The sequence below is a fragment of the Homo sapiens genome, chromosome 9, assembly GCF_000001405.40.
Source record: "Homo sapiens chromosome 9, GRCh38.p14 Primary Assembly".
Classification (NCBI taxonomy): domain Eukaryota; kingdom Metazoa; phylum Chordata; class Mammalia; order Primates; family Hominidae; genus Homo; species Homo sapiens.
Window position 1 is genome coordinate 89368735 of NC_000009.12, and position 25137 is coordinate 89393871.

Consider the following 25137-nt stretch of genomic DNA (forward strand, 5'->3'; position numbering starts at 1 on the left):
AGGGCACTGGACCAGCCCCAGCGCTTCTGGAATGCACCTGTTCATGCCTGCCACTTACTGGCCAAGCCGCCTTATCAATGTGGGCAGGAATCCTGAACCTCTTCTCTGCAAAGGGACCTGAGAAAGTACCACTGAGGCATCTGTAGGCATCGCCTGGCTCCATGGGGGGCCTGTGGGAAGGCACCACTGAGGCACCGAGGGCATTTCCAGACCCCAGGTAACCAGACAGCTGTGTTGTAAAGGCACGTGGAATTATCCCAGATAACAGAAGAGACATGGATAGTTTCTGGTGAAGCTGCCTCATCTAACATGCGAAGGACCTCAGAGCACAGGGAGTTGATAGCACCACCTTGTCCTGTCCAGCAAGGGTGGCCCAACACACAAGGTCAACTAATTCCCACGACGGCCGTGGCCTTTCAAGAGTCTGAAACAAAGGGAAATGTCACAGAGCAGCTGGAACACACACATGCGTGCCAACAGGCCACTGTGGCTGCTAGGAACGGGGGCCCTCTCCAGAGCCCTGGGCCCCTCAAAGAGGACCAAGGGCGCCTTCTGCTGCTGCCCTCTGATCCCAGTGGTTCCAAGGGCTCTGATTTCTAACACTGTAGTTAAAACATAAAAGGCCATCCCAAATCCAAATATCTAAATGCTGCCTAAAGTATGGGGGAACCATTATTAGCTTTGAAAATGACACGGGTCTAAACTTGACATGGAAGATAGTCCTGGCAGAGGTGAAGGCAGGGCCCTGACAGGGTAAAGACTGCACTTTGGTTAAAAAATTATATCGATCTGTTTCTGTGTGTGCACACTAATGTACAAGTGCATGATTTGTATCTGCATGTAGACACAACCCATCGCCATTCATCGCTATTGATCCTTACGTTTGTATGCCAGATGCGCTATGTGCTGGCACACGGGTGGTGGGGTTATTTTTTCACCCATCTGTATTCTGAGTGATCCATGAGGAACTTGGGTTCATCAGTTCAGACGAGCAGAGCTCGGCTGCATGCTAACTTTACTTCACCAGCTCCAGACGGCTTTCCTCCCCTTGTCAATACACATGCTGCTCCACTTGCCACGGGGCTGCATCCCAATAAACCCACTGTGAGTTGAAACGATCCTAAGTCAACAATGTGTGTGTGTGTGTGTATGGTTGTGTATGTGTGGATGTGATTGGTGTGGTGTGGGTAGCGTGCATGTGTCTATGTGGTGTGTATGTGCTTTGGTGTGTGCAGTATGTGTGGTGGTGTGTGTGTAACAGTGGTATGATTGGTGTGTGTGTGATGTGTGTTGTATGCTGTGCTGTGTGTGGTGCATGTGTGAGTGGTTGTGTTTGGTATGGTGTGTATGGGGGTGGTTTTAGGTGTGTGTACAGTGTGTGTGTGTGGTGTGTGTTGGTATGTGTGCACATGTGCAGTGAGTATGCATGGTCTGTGTGTATGGTGTTTGATGTGTGTGTGGTGTGTGTGATTTGGTGTATGTGATGTTTTGTGCTGTGCATTTATTGTGTGCATGCACATGGTGTGTGTGTTGTGTGGTGGACATGATTGTGTTTGTGATGTGTGTGCGTGTTATGTCGTGTGTGTGTGTTGTGGTACATGTGTCGTGTGGTGTATATTGTGGTGTATCTGTACGTATGTGGTGTATCTGATATATGCGTGGCGTGTGGTGTGTGTGGTGTGTTTGTGGTGTGTGGCTGGTGTGTGGTGTGTGGTATGTAGGTGTGTGTCTGGTTTGTGTGTGTGGTGTGTATGAAGGAGGTATGGTGTGTGTGTGATGCTGGCATGTGGTGTGTGTGGCATGTGGTGTGAGGGGGTGTGGTGCTGGTGTGTGGTATGTCTGCTGTGTGGTCTGTGTAGTGTGTGTGGTATGTGTGTCTGGGATGTGTGTGGGGGGGTACAGTGCATGGCATGTGTGCGGTATACGTCATGCTCATGTGTGGTGTGTGTGTCTGGTGTGTGGTATGTGGCTAGCATAGTCTATGTAGTTTGTGGGGTGTGGTGTGTGTGTGGGGTGTGGTTGTGAGGGGTGTGATGTGTGTGTGGGGTGGGGTGTATGTGTGGGGTGTGGCATGTGTGTGGGTGTGGTGTGTGTCTGGGGTGCGGTGTGTCGGGCGTGTGTGTGTGGGATGTGGCGTGTGGGGTGTGTGTCTGGGATGTGTGGCATGTGACTGGGATGGTGTGTGTTGGGGGGGTGTTGTGTGTCTGGGGTATGGTGTGTATCTGGGGTAGGGTGTGTATCTGGGGTGAGCTGTGTCAGGGGTATGTCGGGGTGTGGGGTGTGTGGTATCTGGGGTGGGGTGTGGTGTGTGTCAGGGGTATGTGTATGTCTGGGGTGTGGGGTGTGTGTTATGTCTGGGGTGTATAAGGTGTGTGTGGGGGGGTGTGGTGTGTATGTCTGGGGTGTGGGGTGTGTGTTATGTCTGGGGTGTATAAGGTGTGTGTGGGGGGGGTGTGGTGTGTATCTGGGGTGTGGTGTGTGGGGTGTGGTGTGTGTCTGGGGTAGGGTGCGTATGTGGGGTGGGCTGTGGCATGTGTGTGGGGTGTGGTGTGTGACGGTGTGTGTGTCTGGGGTGTGGTGTGTGTGGGGTTGGTGTGTGTCTGGAGTGTGGTGTGTGTTGGGGTGTGTGTGTCTGGGGTGTGGCATGTGTGTCTGGGGTGTGGTGTGTGTCTGGGGTGTGGTGTGTGTCTGGGGTGTGTGTGTGGGGTGTGGTGTGTGTCTGGGGTGTGTGTGTGGGGTGTGATGTGTGTGGGATGTGTCTGGGGTGTAGTGTGTGTGTGTCTGGGGTGTGGTGTGTGTGTGGGGGTGTGTTTGGGGTGTGGTGTGTGGGGGGGGGTGTGTGTCTGGGGTGTGGTGTGTGTCTGGGGTGTGGTGTGTGTCGGGTGTGTGTGTGGGGTGTGATGTGTGTGGGATGTGTCTGGGGTGTGGTGTGTGTCTGGGGTGTGTGTGTGGGGTGTGATGTGTGTGGGATGTGTCTGGGGTGTGGTGTGTGTCTGGGGTGTGGTGTGTGTCGGGTGTGGTGTGTGTGTGGGGGGTGTGGTGTGTGTCGGGGTGTGTTTGGGGTGTGTGTGTGGGGGGTGTGTGTGTCTGGGGTGTGGTGTGTGTTGGGGGTGTGGTGTCTGAGGTGTGTGTGGGGGGGTGTGATGTGTGTGGTGTCTGGGGTGTGGTATGTGTGTGGTGTGTGGGGTGTGGTGTGTGTGGGGTGTGGTGTGTGTGGGGTGTGGTGTGTGTGGGGTGTGGTGTGTGTCTGGGGTGTGGTGTGTGTCTGGGGTGTGGTGTGTGTCTGGGGTGTGGTGTGTGTTGGGGTGTGTGTGTCGGGTGTGGTGTGTTGGGGGCGTGGTGTGTGTCGGGTGTGTGTGTGGGGGGTGTGATGGGTGTGGTGTGTGGGGTGTGTGTGTTGGGGGGCGTGGTGTGTGTCGGGTGTGTGTGTGGGGGGTGTGATGGGTGTGGTGTGTGTGGGGGGTGTGGTGTGTGTCTGGGGGGTGTGGTGTGTGTCTGGGGTGTGGTGTGTCTGGGCTGTGGTGGGTGTGTGGGGTGTGGTGTGTGTCGGGGGTGTGTATGGGGTGTGGTGTGGGTCGGGGGTGTGGTGTCTGAGGTGTGTGTGGGGGGGTGTGGTGTGGTGTGTGTCTGGGATGTGGTGTCTGGGGTGTGGTGTGTCGGGGGTGTGTGTGTGTCTGGGGTGTGGTGTGTGTGTCCCTGCCCGTCCTTCACGGCTGGTACCAGGGTGACTGACTATAGTAAATGTGCATTGCTAGCCGCATGACAAAGCTTAGACAGCAGTCCATCCCAGGGCCAACGCGGTGCAGGATGGCTGTGCAACAGCTCTGAACACTCTCAAGGCCGCTGTCCCTCCTGTGCGGCCACAGTGCACACTGAGGCAGTCGGCCACTCCCAGCTGCTCCAGGCCCTGCCGATGCACTCAGTCCCCCAGGACTCAGGATCATAGGGCTAGCGGCTCCCAGGGCACGGGCCCCAAGGCAGTGCAGTCCTGACCTGCCCACCCCTCTTGTCACTGAGCCCAGGGTACCATGCTTGGGGTGACACCATGTGCTGTCTCACCTGGGCACTGCAAAGGCATAGTTCCCACTATGACACCCCTAGGGTGTCCCAGGGCCTTCTCAGGACCGTCCCATCCTGCCCCAGGGACAAGGCTGGCCTGTGCCAGGGCCATCAGTGGATCTTTCCGTATCATCTTCCACTGATAATTCCACTTCCTAGAGGCGAGAACTGTGGTGGAGAAGGGATGAAATGTGTCTAGGTGGAGAGTGGCACTGGTGGCCAATCTCCCACCCCAGCTCCTGACACAGGCCCACAGGTGTGGCCCTGTCCCTCCCTTGGATGGGCACTGAGGCCCCTGGGTGCAGGACAAGGGTGGGCCTCCACCCCACCACCAGGCCTCAAGCTCTCGCATCCCCAGGACACAGGCCTCTCCGCCCTACTCCGCCCACGTGGCCACATCACCTCCACCGCACCCCACGTTGGGCCCTTGTGCCCTGGCAGCCTCTGCACACACCACAGGCTATGTTTTCCCCTGTGCAGACCCACCCCGATCCCCTTTCAGGAAGCGCTTTGGCCTCAGAGGGCCCTCACCTCTCCTGGATGGCCAAGTCCCTGGGGCCACTTTCTGAGCACTGGCCAAGTGTTGGGGCAGGTGGGGACATCTCCTGGGTGACACATGGGCCTCCACCAGCTCTGGGGCAGACCCAGTCCCCAAGTGCAACCCTGACCAGCTGACCTTCCATCAGTCAGCCCTCTCTGGGGGGTGAGACGCTCCCCAAGACACAGGGTCACCCAGCAGAGCTACAGGCACCAGGACGCAGCATGGGGAACTGAAGATGCCACGAATGTCCTCTTAAGTTTCATATTCTAAAGACACTTTGCTAGCCCTTTAATCAGACAGCCCCCAAACCACTGTGACAGCTACCACGAAAACAGCCATTATAGCAAAGAAAAACCCAGCCAAGTTCCAAAGCAGCCCTGCCCTGGGTGGCTGGGGGAGGACACAGGCAGAAGCGGTAGGCCTGTGCCTTGAGTGCACTGTATTGCAATCTCCAGGCTCTGGGCCTCACCTGGAATGGCTCATTCCTGGCCCACAAGGCAGAAAATGGCACTCACTCTCCTCAGGAAAGTCTCTGGGACTTGCAAGTCACACTGTGGCCTCTGTCGCAGGAAGCATCTACAGACCCCAACAGAACCCTGGAGCCTACTCGGGAAATTCACAGCCACAGCCCCTCTGAGTTCACGGCATGCCCATGATGCCCTGGCCTCGGCCCACCCTTGAAAAGGCTGAAGCCACTCTCTCCTAAGCTGGTGCTCCCTGGGGAGGTCTCACAGCCTTCGCAGGCTGTGGCCTCAGTGGAACAAGTGAACGAGAATGTCCCAGATGGGGCCAAATGCCTCTGGAGAGAAAGTAAAGACCACGTGAAAAGGGGGTGGCGGAGGGCTGGGGGCCTCAGTTCTCAATCTGTTCAGTCCATCCTGAGCACTGGCAAAGGACTGCCCTCCTCCCTCAGCTCCCCTACCCTCTACACACTACTCCTGGCCACACTGCTGCAAGCCCACAGCTACATTCCCCATATCCATCTGTGACCGCCAGCTTTCTGTTAGGTCTGGCCATGGGAGTCATTGACAGGAGACAGGAAGTTGGAAGGAAGAAACATTTTTGTGGCTTCAAGTAGGACCTCCAGCAGTGAAGGCAGTGTGGCGGGCAGGGAGAGGCTGCAGATCACACGGCCACAGCCTCGGTGGCACAGCAAGTGAGACTGAGTGTTTGACACTTCACTCTTCCTGCCCATGGCTGATAATGGAAACCTCACCTTCCCACTGTTCCCAGCCCTTCTATCACCTTTGTAACCAATTCCCTGTGTTAAATGCCCTGTGGTTGAAATATCTGGGGTGGTTTCTGTTGCTGTAACAGTGATGTCCCTTCTCCCTGGGCACCCATCTTTCATTCCCTGCTGACCCCAGGGGCTTGTGTGTATGCCTGCCTAGCTACAGGGGGTACACCTGGAGCCTCACATTTAAAAATGTAACAGCAGCCGGGCATGGTGGCTCATGCCTGTAATCCCAGCACTTTGGGAGGCCAAGGCAGGTGGATCCCCTGAGGTCAGTAGTTTGAGACCAGCCTGGCCAAGATGGCGAAACCCTGTCTCTACTAAAAATACAAAAATTAGCTGGGCATGGTGAGGTGTGCCTGTAATCCCAGCTACTAGGGGGGCTGATGCAGGAGGATCGCTTGATCCTGGGAGGCGAAGCTTGCAGTGAGCCAAGATCGTGCCACTGCACTCCAGCCTGGGCAACAGAGCAAGACTCTGCCTCAAAAATAAATAAATAAATAACCAACCAACATTGCCTGACCATACAGCCTGCCTGCATCTGCCCGCAAAGGAGCCCTGGGTCCACGGCCAGTTCATAGAGACCCGCCCGCTTCCCAGCCTCCCCACCGAGGAGGAGCTTCCTGAGTCTGCCTGAAGGACCCCAGTGCTGCGACAGGACACAGTCTCCATGGAGACATGAAGTCCTCTGGGATGCCTGCACCAAGGCAAACTAGCTGGCCGAGGAGCACCATTCAGCTGTGAGAGCGGCCACAGGGGGCTCAGCACAGCCTTGGTCCGTAGCACCCAGTGGAGGGCAGGAACCACACAAGCCAGCCTAGCAAAGCTCCGTCTCCACAGTGCTCCATGCTCACCGGCAGCTTCTCCTGTCCAGTGCTGGCTGCCAAGGGACATTCTGGCCTCAGCAGACATGGGCCACCTGGGGCTCTCAGAGCTTGTTTAACAGGAGAGGGCAGCACCTTAAAACTCTCAGGAGCTACTGACAGTGTGTTTAACATGTTTAAAAAGAGAGCAATTGGGTTTGCTTTTCCTCTTCATTAACTTCATCCCTCCCCCGGGGCAGGCTCTAACAGGCCACTTCCTTTCTTTCTGTATCTACTGATCAGTCAGATGACAACACAGGGGCCACCAGGGCTACCACGCACTGCCTGAAGCACAGGATACATCTTTGAAGTGTGGTTCTGGACATCTACTATCTTTCAAGAGCAGATATCCCATCCGAGTATTTTCCAATCCAGGGCAAATGCCTCCAGGTCCCAGAGGAGTACACTAGACTCTCAATCTTTTCTGTTTTTATAATGATGATGATTTTTGAGACAGGGTCTTGTTCTGTGATCTAGGCTGGAGTGCAGTGGCACCATCATACCTTACTGTAACCTCAAACTCCTGGGCTCAAACAATCCTCAAGGCACGTGCCACCAAGCCTGGTTAGTTTTTTTCACATTTTTGGGTAGAGATCAGGTCTCGCTATGTTGCTCAAGCTGCTGTGAAACTCCTGGCTTCAAGCAATCCTCCTGCCTTGGCCTCCCAAAGCAGGGGGATTATGCCCGCCAATCTTTTCCGCTTTTAAATACCACGAAGCAAGTCATTAAAACAACTCCCATTCTGGAAGCTCTTAATTTTTTAAAATTTCCAAATACCACGTATATCAACCTCCAAATTGTTAGCAGAAATAGAAGCACTCTGGCTCTGGAGGCTGAGGCAGGAGGATGGCTTAAGCCCAGGAGGCAGGGGCTGCAGTGAGCTATGATTGTGTCACTGCACTCCAGCCTTGGTGACAGAGGGAGACCCTGTCTCTTGAAATTTTTTTTTTTTTTAAGGGAGAAGCAATCCTATATACCACAGGTTGGGAAACTGGGGCCTTTGGGGCAAATCTGGCCCACCGTGCATTTTTATAAATAAAGTTTTACTGGCACACAGCCCTGACCACTCGTTGTGTATTGACTATGGCTGGTTTTACAATACAACAGCAGAGCTTAGTGGCTGTGACACAGCCTGCAGCCCACAAGGCCTAAATATCTAGCCCTTTACAGAAAACACTGGTTGACCCCTGTACACTAGAAGTGGCTTCACACTGTCTACAGTTTCCCTCGGGATGGACCCACAATGAAAGCGTGAAACGGCTCAACCCGAGGGACGCAGCCAGGACAGATAAGGAAGGTAAAGGAACATGTGGAGGGATGTGGAGGATGCCCCCGCCCGCCCCCCACCTGTGGGAGGAGACAGATGGACAGGGCACAGGGGACAGAGAGGGCCCAACTCACCTGTGGCCTGGCAGAAGAGGTAGAAGTTCCCCAGGGCGTGCACGTGCTGTGCCTGGTCACTCAGGAAGGGCGGCAGCAAGGAGACCCTCGAGCTGCTGTCGGGCCCCGCACCCGAGGCTGGCCAGGGGGTCCAGGGAGAGGAAAGCCTCCTGTCCCCCACATGGCCCAGACAGGACAGGGAAGAGGAGCCAGGAGGAGGGAGGGGCTTAGGAGACGAGGCTGTGAGACAGAGAGGACAGAAAAGAGAGGGCACTGAGGAAGAAGTCGCCAGGAGCACGTCACAGGCCAGAGAGGGCAAAACACAGCAGGAAACGGACAGAAAAGAGCGAGCCCAGCTGTCCCGCCTGGGCCATGCAGGGGCGGGAGGCTGCACAGCCTCCGCTAAGGAATGTCTTCCCCAAATCAAGGATAGAAGCTTCTCATTTATTTGGGTACTTTCCAAATGTATACAATTCAAAGTAGAAAAATAAAAACAAGGTAAATCTTATAAAACACAAATGTTTACACCAAAATGGTCAAATCCTATCATGCTGGAAGATAAGACTGTCCACACACGCGCACAAACATCCAGAGTTTATTGCTCTTCACCATGGAAAAAAAGTCTCTTCCCGATGGGTATTTACAAAGCGGGGAGATGGAGTGTGAAATTAACCAGTGTTGAAATCGTACCACCCATTCACATCTTCAGGACAGTGGCAGGAACAGCGCCGTATGCTTGAGGGTGCTGTGGTCACAGCTCGCGGCCCCGGCCACCGAGGCCCAGTTCCCTTCCAGTAGTGGGCAGCTCAGTGAGGCTGGATAGAAAGTCTGGGCAGGCAGTGGGTAAGCAATTGAAGCAAGAAGAGAAAGGAGATGTTCAGAGAACCAAAGGCGCCCTTGTGAAGGTTCCATCTGTCTCACAGGAGGTTCTGACCGACAGCTGTGGGCTCCAGATTGTACCGCACTCCCATCTCAGCTCTGGGCCAGCCTGGCTCCACTCAGCTCATCCAGGCTACCTTCCCTTGCTCAAAACCCACCTCGTGGATGTGGGAAGGTCCTCTTCTTCGAGAGAGTAAAAGTTAAAAAAAAAGAAAAGTAAAACGAAGTACAGAAAGAAAATCTCTCCAAAAACAATGCTTCCCTCAAGGAATAAAGTTAAAAAAAAAAAAAGAAAAAGAAAAAAGGTGAGTGGGCTCCGGGGAGTGTTTATGTCTACATTTCTAAAAGCAGAAAGAATGCATTTAGCAAAAGGAAGTTTATCCCTGAGAATCTTAAGCAACGTAAGCCGTATTTTATGCCAAATATATAACAAAATCTGGAAGATATACATCTTCTTCTAAATATTAACACAACTGCTTCTGTAACTAAAAAAAAATGACCCATGACATAAACACAATCAAAGCAAAATCCTAAAAAAATAATTAAGTGGAAGAAAAGGTTCGTGCCAATCTGGACAACAGGCGATAAGTTACCAATCTGATAAACTAAAATGTCATTTCCAATCTGGAATTAAATAATCTTTTAGTGGCTGCTACGGGGAGGGGAAGCTGAAGGGATGCTCTTCTCAGCCAACAGAGGTCCAGCCACCTTTCCCCCACTACAGAAAGGGCTCAGGAACTCCGTGCCGCCCGTGGGCCTTCTTCAAGTACTCCGACTGACTTCGGAACACAAGACTGGGATGCAATGCTTGTCATTTTTCCAAAAGGACAAAGAGAAACCAAGTCACAGGCTCAACCCAAGAGAAAATAGACAAGAGGACTGAGGTTGTCTGCACGATGCGGGCTAACCTACGCAGCACTGCACGAGACTCGGATACTGAACAGGAGAAACACAAAACTCTCCACGCCTGGACACGTCGCAGCCGAGGCACCAGCGGGGATGCACAGCCGGCCTCAGTCTCCATCTGCGTCTGAGTCAGCGAACTTCAGCTCACACTTGACGTCAAAGGGCTTGTCCCTGGCAGAAAGGTCGTCGATCCTCTGTGAGTCCTCCCTATCCGTGGGGACTTTGCTGGTGATGGTGTCTTGCTCGGTCTCATAGCCGGTGTCCAGGGCTGGCTTGGGGTGCTCCCCATTCTGCTGGGAGAAGCTCCCTGGCTCTACTAACGTCTCCTTCAGGCTCTGCTCACGGTCACAGAAATCTGACTTGGGCTTCTTCTTCCCAATTAGTAGGGCCGAGCGGAATTTCAAGCACTGTCTGGGCAGGTATCCCTTATAGCAGTTGTAGAAAAAGAGGCAGAGGAAGAGAACAAAGAAGAAGAGGAAGAGGGACATGAGGAGGCGGTTGTCGCTGGACTTAAGATACATGGTTTTCTCCGAGTGGAGCTGGGGGACCGTGTTGATGACGATCTTTGGTTCGCAGGATGTGCCGGTGGGCGCAGGCTTGGGAGGAAGGGTGATGGCCCCGGAGGAGGTGGCCTGCACGGCTGGGGTTGGGGGAGAAGACCCTTGGGTGGATGCCACCAACACTTTGGTGGCAATCCTACTACCTTCTGTCTGAACAACTGACAAGGTGGGGGCCACTACGGGCTTTGGAACCACCTTCACTTCCAGGACGTGCTTGGCGACCACTTGGAAGACCGTTTTGTTCTTAACCCTCTCCTCTGACAGGCACTGGTACACCCCACTGTCTCCTTCTGACAAGTTGAAGATGAGCAAGTTTTTTCTGCCCATAAGACCGTACTTGGGGCTCTCGGCCTTCAACACGCCATTCTGGAACTTCCAAAAGACCCGGGCCAGGTTGGATTTTTGGGAGCATTTCAGTTCCGCTGTGCCACCGTGCTTGAAAAAATGCTGCCGGTAACTTCCTTTACTTTTATCTGGAACATCAAAATAAACGTGCACAGCGTCAACAATCCCCATTTGCTATTTAACAACTTCTTTAAAATACCCACAAGATGACGCAAGAGTTTCACCCACTGTAGCAACATGGAATCTTCCAGAACAACTAAGGAGATAAAGACATGCGTGACCAAAAAGCAAAGATGAGCCCTGGATGACAGCCCATGGGGACAAAGAAATTGGAGGCAGCTCTGAGCAGCAGAAATCCCATTTCTCACCCGTGTCCCAGAAGAAAACGCGTCAGGCTGGGGAAGCTGAGCAGAGGCCAGTTCTGTGCCTAGTGTCAGCTCTTTGAATCAGACACGAGACGCTTCTGCTAATGGCTGCAAGGAAGACTGGCCTTTCAGTGCATCTCAGCACTCTCCTCCTGCCTAAACTTTTCTTTTTTTTCTTTTTTTTGAAACAGGGTCTGGCTCTGTTGCCCAGGCTGGAGTGCAGTGGTGCAATCACAGCTCACTGCAGCTTCAACCCCCCCAGCTCAAGGGATCTTCCCACCTCAGTCTCCAGAGTAGCTGGGACTACAGGTGACCACCTCCAGGCCTGGCTAATTTTTGTATTTTTTGTAGAGACAGGGTCTCACCACGTTGCCCAGGGTAGTCTCGAACTCCTGAGCTCAAGTGATCCTCTTGCCTCAGACTCCCAAAATGCTGGGATTACAGGCATGAGCCACTGTGCCCGGCCAGCTTTTGTTTTCTTTTTAGAGTCTGGGTCTCACTTTGTCACCCCAGGCTGGAGTGCAGTGGCATGATAAGCTCACTGAGCCTTGAACCCCTGGGCACAAGCAATCCTCCTGCCTCAGCCTCCCTAGTAGCTGGGACTACAGGCGTGTACCACCATGCCCAGCTGCCTAAACCTTTCTTAGTCTGATGACAGCTGTCTTGTCAGGGTCAGGAAGACACAGAACTGAGGGTCAAGTCTGCCTTTAGCACCCTGGAAGGTGGCTGCTGGGGAAGGGGCATCTGGCCTGATGCCACCCCTCCCTCTGGGTGTGGTGCTATTTCAGACATCCACAGGCGGGTGAATCCCAGGTGGGAGCCCCAGGGGAAACACCACCCCAGCCCTTACACTGCCTGAGGATTAATCACTCATGGGCTCCTTTCTCCCCATTTATAACAGGCTTAGGTTTTGCTTAATGAGCCCCAAGCTAAGCAGAAAGAAAACAGGATGGTTTTGGAAGGAGACTGCTTCCCAGTAAGCAGATACACTCTAAGTGGCTTCAAGTACTCTTTCGGCAAGAAAAAAAGACAGAGAAGACCACGAGTCTGCTACAGAACACTTGACCTCTGTTCCGAGTGGAGAAAGAAAAACAAAACACACACAAATGCCACAGAACTGAAGCACCGTGAAATGGCTACAAGACCTCGCCACTCCCAAAGGAAATGGGACGTCGAGGAGTCACTCACCCGGGCACACAGAAGCATCGCCGCTCATCTCCTGAATCAAACCCCTGCAAAACAACCGGCACGTGTTATTCACCCACACACATGGGGGACATCCCCAGGCAGCGCATCCCGCCCCATACCTGCTGGGGCTCTCGGTCTGGTGCAGAGCCACGCAGGTCGCTGTGGGCGGGCTCCAGGCGCAGTAGGGGTCCCGCGCCAGCACACAGTCCTCGCAGGTGCCGTGCTTCCCACAGAAGGCCAGCGGGGCCTGGACCACGCCCGAGTTAGAGCCAGCATAGACAAACCTGTTGCCCTGCGTGTATGAGACAGAGAAGAACTAGCATCAGGCAAGCAGGCATCCAGGAGCATGGCCTCTGCTTCTGCACCAGTGTGTGGGAAGCAGCCAGAGTGTACCTTCAGGGGACATTGCAGTAAGGAGGAGAGGTACTCAGAACCAGAGGCAAACAAGGCAGGTCTGTGACCTTCCTGCAGAATCCACGTGCTATGTCAGGGCTCACTGGGCCTTAGGTCCAAATCCCTCTCTCCCCTGTCTGGGCACCCACAGGTGCCTGCCCTCCAGCAAAGCGCTTCTCTGCACGTGTTTCTCTTAGCCAGTGGGGAGGCTGTTCAGTCCCCACCTCCAGATCTCCTCCCTGCAGCAGAGGATGCATGAGCCTGGCACTCCCGGTCATCTTCCCGGCCTCACTATAGGTGAGAAGGGGCTGCAGCCAGAGGCTGAAGCACACCACCTCGAAGCCCAACCTCGTCCCCCGAGCCAGAATGTGAGCACCTGTGGGCGGGGAGCCTCTCGTGAGGGTCTGGATCCAGCAGAGGCCTAACATAACAGGGATGCCAAACGGACGACATGCAAAGGATGAGGAGATCGTGATACAAAACATAAAAAAGGAACAATGCCTTTTGCTTTTCACTTATCTATATGTAAAAGGGAAGAGCTCACAGACGGGAAGTCAACCTCCGAGCTCCAGAGCAGCCACACCCACAGCAGAGGGCAGGTGAGACTCTCCCACCTTCTGGGACACTTGGTTCCCAGTGACACCAGCTTCAGGTCCATCCCATCAGCCCACCTGGCACCAGCAGTGCCCAGCACACAGGCATCCAGGGCTGCTGACTGCTTTTGAACGGAACTCAGCTGGAAGGAGGGTGCCCCACATGCAGTGCACCCACCTGAAGCTCGGGGGCGTGCAACAGACCTGGAGGTGGCCCGTGGAGCGCGCTCTCTAGCCTCTGCCCAGGGCATCTGCCTCAACAGCCTGGGGACACCTTTTGGTTAACAATACAAGATTCCCAAATTTACACATGACTTAGTGGTTTACAGTCAGATGAAACACGACCTTCATCCTCAGAGGATACGCTCGGAGTCAACTTCAGAGTGTGGTTGGAAGATCACAGGCCCTGATGCCAATACAGGAAGCCCCAGGCCACACATCCAGCTGTGCGGACACAGACCCACGAGAGAAAGGGAAAGCCCCCAAGGATGGAAACTGTGATAATACACAGCAGAGGGAACCTGGCCCGCCGCTGGCCTCACAGCAGCAGCAGCAGCAGAGACCTGGGCAGATGAGGCCATGTGTGAGCCACGTTTGTGGGAAGGATTGAGGATGACATCCCAGATCACAGTTCGGGCATCGCGCGGCTTGTGGAGGTGGCGGAAACATTCTCTGGCAGCAAAGCCAAGCTGGGTAACTTCCAAGGGACAGCTGGTCCTGTTGGGTCCCGCGGGGGGCACCTGCGAGGTGGCGTGAACACCATGCAGTGCAGAGCAGGGTGCCCTGGGTGGCCAAGTGGGGCCCGCCTGACTCCTCACCCCAAAGAGAGGCTTGAGGGTAGCTGTGGAGGGTGGGGTGGGCTCTGGGGGGCAAGGCCTGTCCCAAGGGGATCCAGACCACCTCCTGCACCCTGCGGGAGACTCAGCCCCAGCTTCCGCTTCTCCCGGATGGGGCTGGGCTGCAGCCCAAATGAAACTAAGCTGTAAAAACTAAACGACGCCACACAGAGACCAAGGGATGACTGTGGAAGGGAAGAGGGGACAGGGAAGGAGGAACTGGTCGTCAGGACAGCCAGCTGTAACTGCTGCAGGCAGGACCCACTGGTCGATGTGGATGTCAGTGGGTGGGAGAACAGGGCATTTCTGTAGCCTCCAAGTCTGTCCCTGCAAATAAGCATGAATGACTGTGGGGGTTTCCCACATGACTCCCCTGGGAGGTGGGGCTCACTCTCCCCCACCCCCAGTGTGGACTACATGCCCCGACACACTCGACATGGAAAAAGACGGTGGTGACTTGGACAGAATGACCAAGGTCATCACGCTGGTGCGAGTCATACAGATGCCCCATCCCCAGAAAGCGCCCTCTTTGGTGCTCCCCCTAAAACCACGACCCCAAGATAATCACAAGAATACACCAGACACACCACAAAACACCAGACTACTCCTCTCCAGGAGTGCTGAGGTCAGGGAGGCAGGAACAGAGCAGAAGCCGAGGAGATGCAGTGTCCAGTGCAACCTGAGGTGCTGAGCCAGGAATGTGGTGGGCGGGAGGTAGGAGGGTCCAGGGTCTGGGGTTCAGGTAACGCACTGCACCATGACAGCACCTTGGCTCAGATAAATGCACACTGGCTATGTGAGACATCGGACATGTGGAGCTAGGTGGGGGCGCTCAAGATCCTTCTGTGCAATCATCAAAACTCTTCTGTAAATTTAAAATTATTTCAAGACAAAATTTTTAAAGGCAAAGAAAAAAAGCCTGACCAGGCACCTGGCAGCATGAGTGAGGCCCGCTGAGAGCAAGCCTGTCCTGTGCACTCCTGCCCCTCGACGCCCCCTGTCTCCGCCTTCCCTGGGCCTGAGGATTGTCCCCTTGCAGGCAGCTCTCATGCTCCCATCTCTGTCTCTGCTGCTGTGTGTGCGCGTCAGACCCCGAGGGCAGGTTGGAGTGACGGTGGACGTGATCAGAGGCAACTGAGCTGTCTAAGTGCCTTCCTTGCCCTCTGCCACGCTAGCTGTAGCTCAGCATCCCAAGGAGTCCTGGTGAAAATACAGACACAGCCTACTCGGTGGGCTCAGAGAGGGCCGAGCAAACCGCATCTGCTGTGTGCGCCCAAGGAATGGAAAGCAAGGACTTGAGGTATCTGCACACCCACGTTCACAGCAGCACTGTTCACAGAAGCCAGAAGGTGGGAGCAACCGTGTCCATCAAGGGATGAACGCACACACAAAATGCGGGACTCACAAAATGCGGTATTCACATACGACAGAGGAGTATGTAGCCTTGGAAAACCCTGACCCCTGCTACAGCAGGGAGGAACCTTGAGGACTTTATGTTAAGTGAAATAAGCCAGTTACAAATGGATAAATACTGTGTGATTCCACTCATATGAGGTACCCAGACAGAAACAGAAAGCAGAATGGCGGCTGCCCAGGGCTGGAGGAGGGGAAAATGAAGAGTTTGTATTTCACAGGTAAAAAGCTTCTGTTTGGGAAGATGAAAAGCACCCTGCAGACAGACAGTGGTAATGGCTGCAAAACAACGTGAATGTTCTTAATGCCACTGACGTGCACAATGAAAAATGGTTAAGACGGCAAATTTCATCTGATGTGTATTTACCAAAATAAAAAGCAAAACCCCATGCTTGTCATCAGGGGAGAGGAGGTGAGGGTGGAGGCACAGCGCACCTCCCCAGCTGTAGGACAGGGGGAGGGCGTGGTACTGGCCGTTTCTCCATTTGCTGATCACCGTGAGAGAGCCTGATGGGGTCAGGCGGCACAGTCTTTTTACCACTGAACAGCCACTTCCTGCTGCCATGGCCATGGAGCTGGGCCTTCCACCCCCACCTGGAGCCTACTGAGGCCCAAGGAGAAGGCACAGGACCCCACGGCAGGCAGGATGTATTTCCGCTTGTCCAGGCAACTAAGCCACGTCCCCACGAATGGAGGCTCCTACAGAGACAGGCGGGTCGGGTGGTCCAGTAGGACCAGCAAGCGCTTCCCCAAACCCACTGGCTCCTCCTCCTGGGCGCGAGGCTCCCTGTGTGGCCAGCTGCCCTGGTGTGGCCATGTGACCGAGTTCTGGGAGATGGCGGGTGGGCACTGACCCGTAACCCCCTCTGTGCGGCCCTCCTCTTCCTACCCCCTTCTGCCTTTGAGGATCAGTGCCCATGTGCCCTGGAAGCCTCCACCAGCCTGGGTCCCTAAGTGACCCTTGGAACAGAGTGTCATTCTCACGAATGTCCACACCAGGGGCCCAATCTTCATTCTAATGAGAAGTCCACATTTTAGAGATGTTGTAGGTGCCTGCCCAGTCTGGCTGAGGCCACTGAACAGCACGATGGCCCCAGAAGAGCTTCTGGGTCCCCTTCTTTCAACAACGAGGCTGGGGTGAGGCCCCACAGTGGCTAAAGCGTCGACCCTTCAAATCTCCAGGGCTCCCTTTGTGTCCTGGAGACCGAGAGGCTGGTGAACAGATGCCAGTACCCAGTGGCTTATAACTTGCTCAGGCTATTTCATTCTCTTTTCCTTTCAGATCTGAGGGAGAACTCTCCATTAGCAGAGGGGAGGTGACCACGTAAAAGGACCCAGGCTCCCAAGCTTTGTGGATACAGGGGAGGGAAGAGGACAGAAGACCTGGAGGGGTGTTTGCAAATACGCACCTGCCAAGGGTAGGTATCTTACCCGGCCAGACAGGGGCCCTCTTCCTCTGCCTGTTGCTCCCAGCTGAGGGAGGAGAGGACTGACTGGGCCTGGATCCCACAAGGTGGTTGGAGGTCCCGTTAGGAGCCAGGGCCAGGGAGGCAGCCCCCTAAAGGCCAGCGTGGATGCCCGCCCACCCACCCCTGCCAAGGGCTGCTTGGGAGTATTGCAGGCCAGACCAGAGTCTCAGCCACAGGTGGAGACAGCTTTACAGATGAGACGAACCACTTCTCTTGTGGATTTTCCACGGTGACGAGTCAGCTGTATCACTATCATATCCCACAGATGCAGTCTGCACACCCCCCAAGCTCAGGGCATAAAAAGGTGTCTTCATGGAGCAGTGCCCACCTCTCCACAGCCTGTAAAGCTGCACCAACAACTCAATGACATTCCAGCAACTTCGAAGAGAAAGTCCCGTCTCCCCAGGTCTGCCTTCCTGCCTTCCCCAATTCAGATCCCACAGCTCACGGAATGGCTCTGTGTCAAACTCTGAAGGTTGGCTCACCCAGGGCAGACAGACAGAGGGGCCTGCCCAGGAGCCCGACTCCAGCTTGCCAACTCTCCTGTCACCTAGAATCAAAGCCACCGAGCGGAGAAGCCCCCGGTCCAGCTGCCTGCGTCACTTTACCTTCTTTGAAGACAGCAGCAGGGTCTGGACTGGCTCAAAGTCCTGGAAGAGCTGGGTCTCCTCGATGATGTGAACAGCGTGCTCGAGGCTGATGGCTTTGTGCAGAGCTCCCCGGTCTGCAGGGCCAAAGCTACAGGTCAGTGACACTAACCCAGACACAGAAACCAAGGACAGTGACCACAGCGGCAAACTTCACACTCTTCACTCTCAAGTCATTCCCTCCACAGATACTTAGAAAACAATGATGATTTCGCATTAGAAACAAAAAAAGGAAAAGGCTTTGGCAAAACAGACAACTGGAAACCCAAGTGTTATGGGTTATTCCAGTTTTTTTCCAAGGAAAATAAACTGTTCCATGGTTGACCCCAAGAATCCTCACCAACAGTCGACATTACACTTGAGGCTAAGTGCCACATGAGGGGGCTCCCATGCTCCACCAGCCCTCGGGGTGTCACTGGTAAGTGCCCTAGGCAGGCGGTGAGGACAGGGGGCATGTGAGGTTGGCTGGGAGGCTCCAAGGGCAGGCCACAATGCGCTGCCAGCCACCGTGGCTCCTGGCCCCTGTCCCTGTTCCAGAAGTGCTTATTTCAGAGTCCACATGCCAGGGCACATCTAAAACCTGGCTCCTCGGCCAGGAAGCAGGGACGTGGTCCTCTGCCAGCAGTCAGGAAACGCCAGGCTGACGCCTCCTCCCAGGTGGCTCACACCTGCCCCCTGCGTGGGCACTGCCCCAACTCCTCGGCGGCCAGTACTCCTCTGCCCCAGCCCAGCCCAGCCACAGGCCAGGACTTGCATTTTTATTTTTAACAAGTACCTCCAGTAGCCTGGTGGTCCCAGATCTGAAAGCCACCTGGTGTGGTGACTTCTCAGAAATCTTCTTACGCTCCCACAAACCTCCCAGGTCACCTCGAGGGAGGCAATGGAACTACTCACGAAAGAATAATTGGATTTCCCAGTTTTCCTACCAGAGGACACAGATGTGCTGTCACTGTCAAGCCTGCCAAGCCCTCGGAACCCACCTGTGCTGACAAACATGACATCATAGACAGTCCCATCCAGGGCCTGGGTCCGGTCCACCACGATCTGGGTGTAGTTCACATCTTTCTTGATTAACCTGGGCCTGTTGTCTATTGGGGTTACCGAGTCATCCATCAAAGGGTGGTCTTTAACGAACTGCAGCGTCTTGTCTGGCAAATTCAAGGAGCTGGTGTAGTTGGCGGCCCGTGCCTCGCTGTCGATGCACTGCAGGGAGAAAATCCCCGCTGTTAACGTGCTCGTGTCCCACCACGCAACGGGTGCTTCCACACAAGCAGCCAACGCAGGGGGGGCTGCAAAACCTGGAAACCACACAATGCATGCCTTGAAATGAGGGTAGCAGTGAATAACTTTACTATGAGGAAAGGTGGCCTCTCCCCAGCCAGCAGAGGACACAGTTATAAAACACATCTGCAAGACAGAATTGCATTCACGATACATACTCAGGGAAGGAATTTTTATCTATTTGTAAGTGAAAAACACTTATTGAGCTTTTGAAATTAAAAAACAGAACACTGATTTGCAGCTTTCTCATGAAAAGAATGCTAAACATGGCTAAAACCAGGACAATTTAAAATAGCATAAGAGCCTGAGGGATTCTTTTTTCCTGTTCTAGCTCCCTGATGTGTGTAAACCAAAATCTGTGACCATGAGTGAACACATTTTACGAAGCTATGCATAGAAGGAGCCATGATGGTGTCAGGGACAGCTGCCCTTGGGAGGGAGCTGGTGCTGCAGTGAACTCTGAGGGCCAGGACACCCCATGTAGGTCACAGCCCCACAGAGGGCTGTGCACATGCCTGTCACACCCATTTCCCCATGTGAGGGAAGGAATCGGCCTGGAAATTCCCAATTTCTACATAAAGTTCACTATATTTAGGAGGAAAAAATGTGACTCCTGTTGACTAGTGGACAGTGCAGAGGCCTTTGCCAAGGAATCATGTGTTTCTCTGTAAGAAACTGAAAATGAAACAGACCTAATTGTTATGCAATGTTAATTGTGCAAAACAGCTGCCCCAGCCTTCTTGTTTGTGCAATAGTGTAGCAATGGCTGTTACGTAACATGCAAAAGGGAAGAAGGATGAGCTGTGCTCATCGGCCGTCCCTGTCCCAATGCAGAGAGCCTTGGCGTGGCCAGGTACCCAGCCCATGAGCAGGCCCCAGTGCCTGTACTGGATTCCATGCCCTGGGCCTTGAAGGGAAAGCACGGCCCGCCCCCAGTGCCCCAGCTCACCGCTCCAGGCCGCGGCTTGGGTACCGGGCCATTATAGCGCACCCACTTGGTGTGGGACTGCTCCACTGTGGTGCTCTGCATGTACTTCCCGTGGGAGAAGACCTCCTCGGCTGTGGACAGGTTGTAGGCGCACACTGCCGACAGCCCCACGTTGTTCCTGGGGAGGGGAAAGAGGTGACGGGACCACCTGGCGGCATCAAGGGAGCAAGGAGGGGGACTCCACCCAGGGCACTTACAGCTGTGGGGTGAAGAGTGCATAGAACACAGGCACCTTCAGGCCCGGGGACCTGAGCACGAAGACATCCCGCAGCACATTGAAGACCAAGCCGCTGTCTGGCCGGGAGCAGATGAGTCGGGCTTTCAGGAAGGAGGTCCATTTCTTCTGCAAGGTCCTCAGGCCGCCCTGGTCCCCCTAAAACCCCAACAAGAAGACGTGGTGGGCCGAGAGTGGATCCCCTGTGAGCAAGCACTAAGGTCAGAGGTGCACCCCTCCATGGCCCAGCACAGCGCGGCTGTGCCTGACTGAAACAAAGCTCGGGCAACAGGAGACAGATGCCGCAATTATGTGAGTGGCCCGCAGCACCACGTCCAGGTTCCAGCTTGGATCCCAGAACGCTCCTGGGTTAACACACAAAACAAAACGGACAAAAGCCCTCTCACTGAAAGCTCATTTGATCGTCCATGCCTGCCTGTGCCCAGCATTCAGTCCTGCAACCGCAGAGGTGCTGCCGTGCTCACACACTTCCAACTGCCAAGGCCCCTGGCATTGTGTGACTTTCCTGACATAGGGCCCATCAATGAACATGCTCTGGGTGGGGCAAGTGGCGGCAGCCTCCTTCCAGGGGACAGCCACCGGCCCTGCAGCCTGTCTTGGGCAAATGTGTGAACCTTCCTCCCTTTAAAGGAATAGATCCTTCACTTCCTTTCTACCCAAAGTATCTGCTAAAGTGCTTTGAACCTAAGTTCTTTATAAACGCTTTTCAGGGATCCGATGACCAAGACACAATTATAAACTACACATGACTGTGTGTGGTCTGGAGAGAAATACTGAAACCACAAAACCTGAGTGCAGAAGAATATGAAATAGAAGCAGCCTTACTTATTTTGGACACAGGGAAAATGTTCCCCCTTCATCTCTGCTGTGTGATTACAGGAGCCCAAATTCTCTTTTTGATAAAAGGACTTCATTTTCCTCCTTGATGTTTTAGCAAAGAATAATTTCTAGCACATTTTTCGTCAGGGGTCTCATGTGGCTTTCAGGTCACGGGCAGCAGGTGAAGGGTTCATGTGTGCCTGCGTGGTAGGCAGGAGCTGTGGGGCCTAAGCTCAAACCACCCTAGTCCAGGAGTTCAAACAAGTATGGGGAAAAAAAAGGGATCAGAGGGGATGACAGCAGTGTGCCTAAGACTTGTAGAAACTTGTCGGGGGTGGAGGTGGCTGCTCTGTGCATCGCTGAATCTGCTCACTGATCCTGCTGCAAACCCTCAGTGCTGGGTAATAAGTCAAGGTCAAGGCAAGTCTGATCCTTGGCTTCCCGATGGCAGGGGAGGGCTCGAGTCCCCTGGCCAGTGCTGCTCTGACAGCATTCTGAGCACTGTGCACGCCTGCCAGGAGCTCTGGCCCTGCAGCACCCTCCCCATCTCAAGGGGCACTGGCTTGCCCCCAACACTGATACTGTTGATAGGATGGTTTCCTGGTCTGCAAGACAGGAGCATGGCAGCCACGGCTGCGGGGCTGCGGGGCAGCTGGAGGATCTGGTCAGTGAGCCCTGGCTACGGAAGGCCTGGGCAGGGAGCAAAGCACCAGGTGGATACTCAGGTGTGCACATCACCCAACCTTCTTCCTTATGCAAGGGGCTGTTAAGGGAACGGTGTCAAAGGCACCCACTTTTGTGCGCCATAGGCATGAAAGGAACCCTGCTTCTCTGATGTCCTGATGGTCATGACTACATGAGAAAGGGCCACGCAAGAACTATCTACCAATTTCCATGAGAGACGAATGGCTACCTGCTCCGAGATGAGCTCCTGGCCAGGGACATGGCGGCTGTGTTTCATGTGGTTTCCCCCAGCTCCCCTGAGGCCTGACAATCCACCTCCTGGAAACTGCCACTGAGCAACCTTGAGATTTCCTGTAATCAAGCCCATAGGCCATTCTCTTGTGCTGAGCACTGTGCCTACAGTGTGTCATTTTAAAGGCACCCTCCCCTTTTAATGTACTTAAAGATTTGTGTTTTGACAAACTTCTGTATTGGTTCTCTCTTCTTAATCTTAAGCTGTCGGTTAATGTTTCACTCTTAGGTAGATTAAGAGCCAAATGGTGAAATTCCAACAGACTCTGGTGAATACATTCCACAAAGCCTTGCTTTTTATAAGCTAGAGGTTTGAAGAGGGTGCATTAAAAGAAAGAACCTCCTGAGAAGAGGAGGCTAATGGGTCACACATGGGGGCCAGCACTCCCTCAGTCCCCACAACCCCCAGAAATAAGATCCATTGAGAGCTGCATCTGAGGCCCAAGGGAATAAAGTGCTAGGGAAAGTGACATTTGAGACGAAGGTCAGGAGCCACCCATCATCCAGGCACACTATTGCCATGGCAGGGGCCAAGCGAAGCCAGAGTGCCTGGCACTCACCTTGCACACTCTTGCTATCCGTGGGATCAGCACCCTGAACACAAACTCATACTCCACAGACACCTCCGTGAAGAAGAAGTAGACCCTGTCATCCTCGCCGTCGGGGCTGTCTGGGCTTTTTCGGATCACGTCAGCAAACACGAAACTAGGCTCTGCAGAGAGAGGACAGTGATTATCCCAGAACACAGAGCTGGGGGACTGCCTGCACCCATGAGGTCACGAGGCCGGCCAACACTACCTTGGGGGCCTGAGGGCTTCCCTGCAAGGATGTCTGGAGTGTGCACATGCCACAATCCAAACAGAAACTCCAGGATCTGAGGATGATGACAGCCCTGAGCCCAGATGGTGCCCTACCCCCACCTCCTCGGCCTCAGAGAGGTGCCCCCGACAGTGGTTCTGCAGTGCATCCCACCCAGGTTCACCCCAAGAACTGAGGCTGGGCCTCCTGACTGGAAGGCAGGGAGCCAGATGGTACCAGCATCAGAGACCTACGTAAGGCATGCATTTGCTGGTTTAAACAACACATGCTTCACATAAACAAACTCTAACCACCAGATCCTGCCCCACCCTGAGGAATGGCCGACTGTCCCTGAATCTGGGGTCTTGGGATCTGCCCTAAGGTCAAGAGGTTCAAAACCCAAGGCTCTACTGGCTGGCACCCACAAGAAAAGCCCCCATGAACAGCCACCAGCTTCTTCCTGCACATTGAAGACGGACATCGGACATGTGCTGCTGGCAGCAACAAGGCACCCAGAGCCCATCTGACCGGGCACTAGAGGCTGGGCCCGGAGGCAGGTCCCACACCAGTGTTGGTGCCACACTTTAATATCATTCTGGAAATTATACCATGTCCCCATCTGATTAGTCTTAGTTTACCATCTACTATCAGATTCTCAATTTTATGAGAGTCTCCCAAATCCATTTTTGGGGGGTTAGTGGGGAGCTGTCTTAAAACAGTACTCTGTTACCAGTGAAAACACCCAACAAGGTGCCCTGGGACTCTGGCCATTGCTGGACAGTTTGGGAAGTATCCCCCACAAACAGGGGCTAACACAAGCTCGGGGGCCCCCAGGGCTCAGAGACAGAAAAGGAGAGATCAACAGGTGTGCACTCATGAGGAGACACGCACCTCCCACTAAGGTGCACTGCTCTTCCTTACCGTTCAGCCAAGGGATTGCATATTCTGTCCTCAGAGGACTGTGGGAAGAATTTCGGGAGATGATGGGTTCACTTCCCAAAAAATTATACGACGTCCCCGAATAAAGTTCTCCATCTGCAGGGGCCCAGAAGAAAAGAGGAAAAGGGAACCAACCTCTCAGGCTATGGCACCAACACTGGGACAAACATTCAACACGGTGTTTTCCTTTATAACCCAATTAAGTCCCTGCCTGGGGAAAGGGAAAGACAGTCTCCTCAACTTTTGGGGTGTCCTGTGTCTTCTAGTTCTTTCTTTTTCGAGATGAGGTTTTTTTGTTTTGTTTTGAGACAGAGTCTCACTCTGTCACCCAGGCTGGAGTGCAGTGGTGCGATCTTGGCTCACTGCCACCTCCACCTCCCAGTTCAAGCAATTCTCCTGCCTCAACCTCCCAAGCAGCTTGGACTACAGGTGCGCGCCACCATGTCTGGCTAATTTTTACATTTTTTGGTAGAGATGGGGTTTAACCCTGTTGACCAGCTGGTCTTGAACTCCTGACCTCAAGTGATCGAGGCATGAGCCACTGAGCCTGGCTTGAGATGAGTTCTTGCTGTTTCCCAGGCTGGTCTCAAACTCCTGTCCTCCCGCCTGAGCCTCCCGAGTAGCTAGGACCACAGGTGTGCTCTCACTTTGATGGGGATAATTTCATGCTCCATGTTCAGCTGCATTTTAAGAGTCATGGGGCAATAAGTAAACATGAGCAAGGAATTCCCACATCCAGGAAAATGCTGGCAGATGCAACAGTGGGTACACACCAGGCTATGACCACTTGCTCAGAGGTGAGAGACCACTGCAGACAGCATGTGGCTCAGTCAAAACCTTACTCTCAAACAGGAGCATCTGCTCAGCACGCGGGGATTATCCAAATGACATGAGCCAGCAATGGATACAAAGTGACGTTTACCATGGCGGCTATTATCCTTGCAAACAATGAATTCAAAAGTTAAAGGGTCTATGCAGTCACATGTGCCTTTTGTAAGGATAGCTCCTATTTAAACAAAGCCAAGGAAGACAGCACTTCAGAGAAGATCCAAATATCCTGTTTGGTAATTAACATGCCACTGTAATCTTCACGGTGAAGGAACTGGAGGGGCAGGACTCACCAACCATGACGGATGTGTAGCTGTGTGCTGGGTCAAAGGGACATCTTCCTTTGCCATCTTCATTTTTCCCCAGAAACTTAAAGGATGTTAAGTTCTACAATTGAATAAAAAGAGAGCACATCATCAGATGGCTGAATTTCTATAGTAACAATGTGTCTCTGTACCACTTCATTTTACAAATTTGCTCTTCTCGGAAGACCAACAGGGCCGAGCAGATAGGTGTGGAGCTACAGGAGTCCCGCCCACTAGGGCCAGGGCTTGTGTTGCTCAGCTCAGGTCTAGACATCAGCACCTTGGTGCCCTTGCTCCG

The 25137-nt window shown here is 53.8% G+C and overlaps 1 protein-coding gene across 58 annotated transcripts in view, besides 5 other annotated features; it reads right to left on the reverse strand.

Moving 5' to 3' along the window:
- SEMA4D (semaphorin 4D) overlaps positions 1-25137 on the reverse strand; it is a 137327-nt gene that overhangs the window by 7948 nt on the left and 104242 nt on the right. For 31 of the 58 annotated variants that reach the window (NM_001371194.2, XM_047422607.1, XM_011518125.2 and 28 more), the window contains 10 exons: positions 24828-24921; positions 23689-23802; positions 22530-22681; positions 20138-20313; positions 19902-20058; positions 18652-18874; positions 17633-17748; positions 12440-12612; positions 12321-12364; positions 8501-10895 (listed from right to left, as the gene is read on the reverse strand). In NM_001371194.2, coding sequence (NP_001358123.1) covers positions 9970-10895; positions 12321-12364; positions 12440-12612; positions 17633-17748; positions 18652-18874; positions 19902-20058; positions 20138-20313; positions 22530-22681; positions 23689-23802; positions 24828-24921 — 2175 coding nt within the window. In that variant the 3' untranslated portion in view covers positions 8501-9969. Of the gene's footprint in view, positions 1-4059; positions 4228-8098; positions 8318-8500; positions 10896-12320; positions 12365-12439; positions 12613-12693; positions 17372-17632; positions 17749-18651; positions 18875-19901; positions 20059-20137; positions 20314-22529; positions 22682-23688; positions 23803-24827; positions 24922-25137 lie in introns of those variants that run through there. The other 27 variants (XM_047422627.1, XM_047422624.1, NM_001371198.1 and 24 more) reach the window with 5 other exon arrangements.
- Positions 4424-4493: an enhancer, noted in NCBI's record as "active region_28530". NCBI's record gives its function as "activates an Ori minimal core promoter by ATAC-STARR-seq in GM12878 lymphoblastoid cells {active_cell/tissue: GM12878}" and the evidence as "EXISTENCE:reporter gene assay evidence [ECO:0000049][PMID:35858748]".
- Positions 6662-6721: a silencer, noted in NCBI's record as "silent region_20008". NCBI's record gives its function as "represses an Ori minimal core promoter by ATAC-STARR-seq in GM12878 lymphoblastoid cells {active_cell/tissue: GM12878}" and the evidence as "EXISTENCE:reporter gene assay evidence [ECO:0000049][PMID:35858748]".
- Positions 7192-7301: an enhancer, noted in NCBI's record as "active region_28531". NCBI's record gives its function as "activates an Ori minimal core promoter by ATAC-STARR-seq in GM12878 lymphoblastoid cells {active_cell/tissue: GM12878}" and the evidence as "EXISTENCE:reporter gene assay evidence [ECO:0000049][PMID:35858748]".
- Positions 20681-20850: an enhancer, noted in NCBI's record as "experimental_108523 CRE fragment used in MPRA reporter constructs". NCBI's record gives its function as "activates a minimal promoter by MPRAs in K562 erythroleukemia cells, with activity observed for both the introgressed and non-introgressed 9:92004415 variant alleles {active_cell/tissue: K562}" and the evidence as "EXISTENCE:reporter gene assay evidence [ECO:0000049][PMID:34662402]".
- Positions 22802-22971: an enhancer, noted in NCBI's record as "experimental_108535 CRE fragment used in MPRA reporter constructs". NCBI's record gives its function as "activates a minimal promoter by MPRAs in K562 erythroleukemia cells, with activity observed for the introgressed 9:92006536 variant allele {active_cell/tissue: K562}" and the evidence as "EXISTENCE:reporter gene assay evidence [ECO:0000049][PMID:34662402]".